Source organism: Homo sapiens, chromosome 11, assembly GCF_000001405.40.
Source record: "Homo sapiens chromosome 11, GRCh38.p14 Primary Assembly".
In the NCBI taxonomy this organism is placed as follows: Eukaryota; Metazoa; Chordata; class Mammalia; order Primates; family Hominidae; genus Homo; species Homo sapiens.
In genome coordinates this window covers 129,582,307-129,589,281 of record NC_000011.10, presented here as the reverse complement: position 1 = coordinate 129,589,281, position 6,975 = coordinate 129,582,307, and the positions used below count along the sequence as shown (strand labels likewise).

At 45.9% G+C, this 6,975-nt stretch overlaps 1 annotated feature.

Annotated features, from left to right (window-relative positions):
* Positions 221 to 823: an enhancer, noted in NCBI's record as "H3K27ac hESC enhancer chr11:129458354-129458956 (GRCh37/hg19 assembly coordinates)". NCBI's record gives its function as "activates a minimal SCP1, AML or CMV promoter by ChIP-STARR-seq in naive H9 embryonic stem cells {active_cell/tissue: H9 hESC(naive)}" and the evidence as "EXISTENCE:reporter gene assay evidence [ECO:0000049][PMID:30033119]".

Sequence of the window (6,975 nt, the reverse complement as noted above, 5' to 3'; positions counted from 1 at the left end):
TAAGTGTCTGCTCATCTCAGGCCCTAGCCCCCCCAGGGTGGCTCAGTGCCTGTCAGCTGAATTTGCACTAATGAGATTAAAGTCAGTGTGTTGGAACTTTCCAACATTTTTGCCCAGATCCGTCCAAAATTCCTACAGTAAGAACTTGCCTGAATCAATATAGTAGTGATTTCAAATCTTAAACTGTCCCTTTCAGGGCATTTCAATCATTTTACGGAAATAAGAGAACAGTTGAGGGGGCCCCTGGAAACAAAAGTGTATAAAGAGAGGTGCAGGGTGGGGGCCGAGGCTGGCTTCTCAGGTGGCAAAGGTATTTCAAGCCCTATATGGTAAGGTTCACTTTGCTTAATCCTTTCTCATTTTAGCTGGGGTTCCACTCCACAGAGTCTTGTCCAAGGCCTCATGGCAGTTTTGCTGAAAAAGTAAACAATCAGAACGAAATGCAGGGGTGTCCTGAAGGGCGAGGGAGGAGGCACGCCCTGGACCTTCGTGGAGAGAGTGAGACTCCTAGAGGGTGATGACTCAGGGGACATCAGGGGATGATTTTGAAATGGGTTCTCTAACCATCAGCCCCTGGAGAAGTGGGTATTGAAGGCCTGGAGAGTGGGAAGATGGGGAGGAGAATTCACAGTTGTTGAAGTCATCATGGACTTAGAGTCTTGGAGAAACAGCAGATACCTGAATTCTTGTCTTAGCTCCATTGTGTGACTTTGGGCTAGTTATAGCATCCTTCTGGGGCTCAGTTTCCTTAGATCAAAATGAGGGCACAGCACCACCGAGGTTCTTTCCATTCTCTTCTGAGACGCTAAGTGAAAGAGTCATGCTCCCTGCTTTTGCTCCCTCCTGAGATGTGAACTCCCTGAAGTCTGAGGCTGTAGCTGTGTCCTGAGCTGTGCTTTGGTTTGCTGGGGTCAGCGACGACCCTGCTGCAGACACATTGACAACAGCCCGTGGGAAGGCCAAGAACAGTCTGTGGTGCTGGAGCACATTCTGTAAGCCAGGGCTCTAGAGCAAATGGGGCTACCAGAGGCAGCCCTATGGGCTCAACTACAATGGTGAAATTTAGAAAGCTAAGCTTGCTTCAGGAGGCTGACACACACAGACACACACACACGCGCACACACACACACACACACACACACACACAGAGTCCTCAGCCTCCTGTCCATCTCTAGGTCTTCGGTCCCACCCTCTACTTACGGACTCCACTCCTTCTCAACCTTTTCCAATTCCATCCATAGCCAAAGACCATCCTCCATGATGATTCTTTTTCTTGTGTTGATTGCTGTTGTTGATGAGGCAGAGACAATTTGCATGCCTCCCTATGTCCGCTCCTCACAATGTAAGATGCCCTTGACTACAAAAATGACTTCATTGTCTGCCAGAGTGGCAAGATGTTGGGTAGAAATCAGAAAGAAATTCTGGCACATGCTTCAACATGGAGGAACCTTGAGGACCTTATGCTAATTGAAATAAGCTAGACAAAAAAGGACAACTATCATATGATTCCACTTACAGGAGGTACCTAGAGTAGTCCAATTCATAAAGAAAGTAGAATAATGGTTTCTACTTTCATTGAATGAGGCCAGGAGAGAGGGGGCTGGGGAAGTCATCTTTTATTGGCTACAGTTTCCCTTTGGGAAGATAAAGAGGTTTTGGAGATGGTGGTGGTGATGATTGTACAACAACGTGAATGTACTTAATGCCACAGAACTAATACATTTTTAAATAGTTAAAATGATAAGTTTTATGTTATATTTAAATATTGAAATTTATATTTCACCATAAAAACTATGGAGGACTAAATCCCTGTACAAAAGAAACTGGTTTCGTCTTCTGGGCTTCTTCAACCAGGTTGTTTAAGTTCTGGAAGCCGGCTAATCCTTTGTTTATTGTACTTTTTCATCAGGTCTGGTGACTTCCCATTTGCACAGTTAATAGGTAGAGTCCAGGGATATTGACACTGGGCTTGGTTTTGAATTTTCAATACTTTTTTATACAGTAGTTATCCGTGGTTCTTGACATCCATTGCCACACAGAAAAGTGCCTTGCTGAACAGCACAAGAAGGAGGCAGTGATTCGGTGATATAGGACTCGGGTGAAGAGGAGGTGAATTTGGAGGGTGAAGAAGAGGACGGAAATCATGGGGGTTGGTAGGAGTGTGAAGCCATGCTCTAGTGGCTCAAAGGGAAAGAGGTCAGCGGGCAGAGAGACAGTAAGCGGGAACTAAGGTTCCTATGTAAGTGGGGGGTGCACCCTCTTGGAGGCTGCCAGTTCCAAATGTGAATGACTCATAAGAGCCATCCACAGCACTGTAATTCCATCAATATCTAGGTTCATTGATATCTCAGGAAAATAACATTATCTTATCTCCCTACTCTCCGTCTCTCTGGTTCCTATCAATCTGTGTCACTTCCCATCACTGCTTTCCATTTGCGCCAAGGCTTGAGTGCCAGGGGCACCCTGCTAAATAATTGCCTTGACCTGTGAGCACAGGTGTGTTCTTGTCAAGATTTCCATGCCTGGGGAAACATCAGCCTTTGGCTCCAACAGTATCTCTGTGGGTCCAGGTTCTGAAAGCCTCTCTGCCTGAGACTCTTCTGGGACATTGGCTGTCCTCATTATCTCAATTAGCATTGCTTTTACACCTACTTTAGAGCAAGAAGTGACCTTGGAAATCATCTAACTCAGTGCTTCTCAAACATCCGTGTGCATATGGGTCCCTGGGGGAATCTTTCTGGAGTGCAGATTCTGATTCAGCAAGTCTTGGGCAGGTAAGGAGGGACCTGAGATTCCGTAGATCCAACATATTCCCAGGTAGTGTCCATGCTGCTGATCCCTGAACCACACTTTAAGCAGCAAGAATCTAGTCTTGTGATTCTCAGCACTGACCACATGGTTCAATCACCTGGGGAGCTTTAGCAAAATACAGGGGCCTGAGCTTTACTGCTGAGATATTATTTAGTTGGTCTAGGTACAGCTAGTCTTTATTTGTTTAAACAGCTCATCATGTGATTCTAGTGAGCACTGTGTTGAAAGCTGGAGCTCTGATCAAATAGCTCGATTTTCCATCTTTCTCATTGAAATTGCCAAAAAAATCCACCGTCACCATCCCACTTTGCCTCTCCTTGGCCTGGGATTTGATTTTCTGTTGTGAGAAAATTACCTGTTATGAAGGCTGTAACCATAAGAAATAACATTTATTGAGCATTTGCTATATGATAGGCATCATTCCAAATGCTTTACAATCTCACAATACCCATGAGTTAGATACTACTATTATCATGCTCATCTTTTTTTATAGATGTGACAACTTAGCCACGGAGAAGTAAAGTAACTGGCCGGGCGCGGTGGCTCACGCCCGTAATCCCAGCACTTTGGGAGGCCGAGGCAGGCGAATCCTGAGGTCAGGAGTTCGAGACCAGCCTGGCCAACATGGTGAAACCCTGTCTCTACTAAAAAAAAAAAACACAAAAAATAGCTGGGCATAGTGGCAGGTGCCTGTAATCCCAGTTACTCGGGAGGCTGAGGCAGGAGAATCGCTTGAACCTGGGAGGCAGAGGTTGCAGTGAGCCAAGATCGTGCCACTACCTGTAATCCCAGCACTTTGGGAGGCTGAGGTGGGTGAATCATGAGGTCAGGAGTTCGAGACCAGCCTGGCCAACATGGTGAAACCCTGTCTCTACTTAAAAAAAAAAAACAAAAAATAGCTGGGCTTAGTGGCAGGTGCCTGTAATCCCAGCTACTCGGGAGGCTGAGGCAGGAGAATTGCTTGAACCTGGGAGGCAGAGGTTGCAGTGAGCCAAGATCGTGCCACTGCCTGTAATCCCAGCACTTTGGGAGGCCGAGGCGGGCGAATCATGAGGTCAGGAGTTCGAGACCAGCCTGGCCAACATGGTGAAACCCTGTCTCTACTAAAAAAAAACCCAAAAAATAGCTGGGCATAGTGGCAGGTGCCTGTAATCCCAGTTACTCGGGAGGCTGAGGCAGGAGAATCGCTTGATCCTGGGACACAGAGGTTGCAGTGAGCCAAGATCATGCCAGTGCACTCCAGCCTGGGCAACAGAGTGAGACTCCATTTCAAAAAAAAAAAAAAAAGAGGTAAAGTAACTTGCCATAGGTCACACTGCTCGTAAGTGACAGGGCCATGATTGTGCTCAGGAAGTCTGACCCCAGAGCCAACTCTCTTAACTATTGCATGATTCAGCCTCCCTGTGCCATGCCAAAGATGCAGCAGTGCTGGTTAATGAGGGAGGAAATGTATCTTTTTCAGTCAAAACTTGCTTTTTATGTTGATGTGCTATTTTTTTAGTCTGAATTTTTTTTTGTTATTTTTATGCATCAAGTTTATTTCTATTTCAAAAATCACCAGTGATGCAAAGTTGTGTGTGTACATTGCTTTTCTATTTTCTATTCTACCCTTCCATGCAGCAGGCCTTTGCATTGGAAGGCTGTGCAACTGGGATACTACCATTCACTAAGGGACCCTGACCCAAGTCCAGGATAACATCTGGGAAAGAGATGCTTGTGGGCCTTGGATTTCAAGCTCCACCTTCCCCTCCTATAGGGTTTGAAGAATTTCACAGGTTCCAATCTGGCAAGACGTATTTCTAGGGTGGCCTTTCGCGTAATCTGCCTCATCTTTTTCAGAGGTCCCTTGGCATATATCCTTCCCTAACAGAGACATTCCCTTTAGCTCATATTTCAGCCCCCTACAGATCCGTCTCCAATTCTAAGCCACGTGGTTTAGTTGCCAGAAACACCAGAGGGTCTTGCCAATAGCGAGTTGTCTGTCTCTTGTAATACAGTACACAGCACAGATCCAACAGTGTAAGAAACATATCTAAACCATCAGTCTAAATAAAGCATCATGAAATGCTCCCAAACCAAACATACTATAAGATCAGTGTGTTTGGCAAATTGCTATTACAGTAGTTTGGATTTTATGCATTTTATGACCCTCCTTTAGTGCAGATGATTAAGAATTGACTGGAGTATTCTCATATTAAAAAGACGTAACTGGCCAGAGAAGAATTTCATATGGCGCAATCTGAAAGAGAATTTCAAAGTTGGAGGTTTTTTGAGAATGCATCAGGCCCTCCTCCAAACATCTGAATGCCTTTTATATCATCCCCTATAAACAGTTATCCACACTCTGCATGAATACCTCTAGTGTCAGGGAACTCATCACCTTACAAAGCAGTCAGTTCTGTTTTCTGATTATTCCTACCTTTAAAGTTCTAAGTCAATGAAACTTCTATGAATCAACCCTAGTTCTAACGTCACATACACCCAAAATCTGGTTCCTCTTCCATTTAACAGCTTGCTTTAAGCAATTTCCAACAGTTCTTATAGCTTCCTGTGTCTCCTTTTCTCCAAATGAGGTATGATTTTGAAGATCTCTATGGCATAACAAGTCTACTCCCCTGGTCTCTCCCCACATAGCTGCGCTCCGTTTAGAAGCCAGTCCCCCTCCAGTGTGGAGTCAGGTGAGGCTGCTCCCTCTCCTTGCACACCCACTTTCTGTCACCAATATGTGCCCAAGAGGATATAAATCAAGAGCACTGAGCTTCTGATCAACCCTGGCAACTCAAGCCAACAGCTTCCCTATGGGCTCATGACATCCTCACACAGAGAAAGCAGCAGCTAGACCTTCATTCCATACCTCCTCTCACAACTGATTTTGGTCGGGATGCAGCACTGCCAGATGATACCCAGGCGGTTTCATGATGGACACTTTCTCTGTGTAGCCACAGTGTGAGGCTCTGAGAGGACAGCTGGGTCTCTCAATGAGCAGAGACCCCCAGAAGCCCCAGCAAACACCCAGGCTCCTGGACGCCCCTTGCTGGTGTTTCCTCGACACTTGGGAGGCAGCATCAGTTCCGGGAAACTTCCCTCTCCTTTTTCAAAGTGCAGATCAGATAGGCTGACTGCTCCTGCCGGGATCTCCCAGGATGCTACCCTTTCTGTCACTTGATTGCCTTTATCAAGGTTTCAAGGATCCAGAATGAGGGGTCTGTGTATTACCCGTCTTAGACTAAAAGAAATAGGTAGATTCCTTTGGAATCGGCTGAGCAAACAGCTAGGCTCAGAATGAACCATTTCCTATTTCAAAACCCTTGTACCTGCCTTGTACACTGCTTGCTGCCCTGTGGGTGCAGGGAGCTTCTCTGGGCAGCAAGAGAGGTGGGGGCATTGCTCACCATGCCCATGCCTCAGGCCAGGGGTGGCCAGCCAGCCCAGATTGTCCACAGTGCTTCCTTACTGAAAGCCTGTGAAGTAAGTGAAGGCGACAGCCAATAAGCACATCAAGAGATGCTCAACATCATTAGCCACCAGGAAAATGCAAATCAAGACCACCACGAGATACCTAGGATGGCGAAAATAAAAAAGACAGATGATAACACATGTTGGTGAGGATATAGAGAAGTTGGAACGCATAGACATTGCTGGTGGGAATGTAAAGGGGTGCAGCTGCTTTGGAAACAGCTTGATTCTTCAAACAGTTTCTCAGAATGTTCAATATACAGTTACCACACAGCCCTGCAATTCCACCCCCAGATATATACCCAAGATAAATGAAAACTTCTGTTCACATAAAAACTTGTACATGAATATGGCCAGGTGCGGTGGCTCATGCCTGTAATCCCACCACTTTGAGAGGCTGAGGGGGGTGGATCACCTGAGGTCTGGAGTTCGAGACCAGCCTGGCCAACATGGTGAAAGCCTATCTCTACTAAAAATATAAAAATTAGCTGGGCATGGTGGCACACACCTATAATCCCAGCTACTCGGGAGGCTGAGGCAGGAGAATCACTTGAACCTGGGAGGCAGAGGTTGCAGTGAACCGAGATTGTGCCATTGTACTCTGGCCTGGGTGACAAGTGAGACTTTGTCTCAAAAACAAACAAAAAACTTGTACATGAATATTTATAGCAGCATTATTGGTAAGAGCCAAAAGGTGATGAATGGATC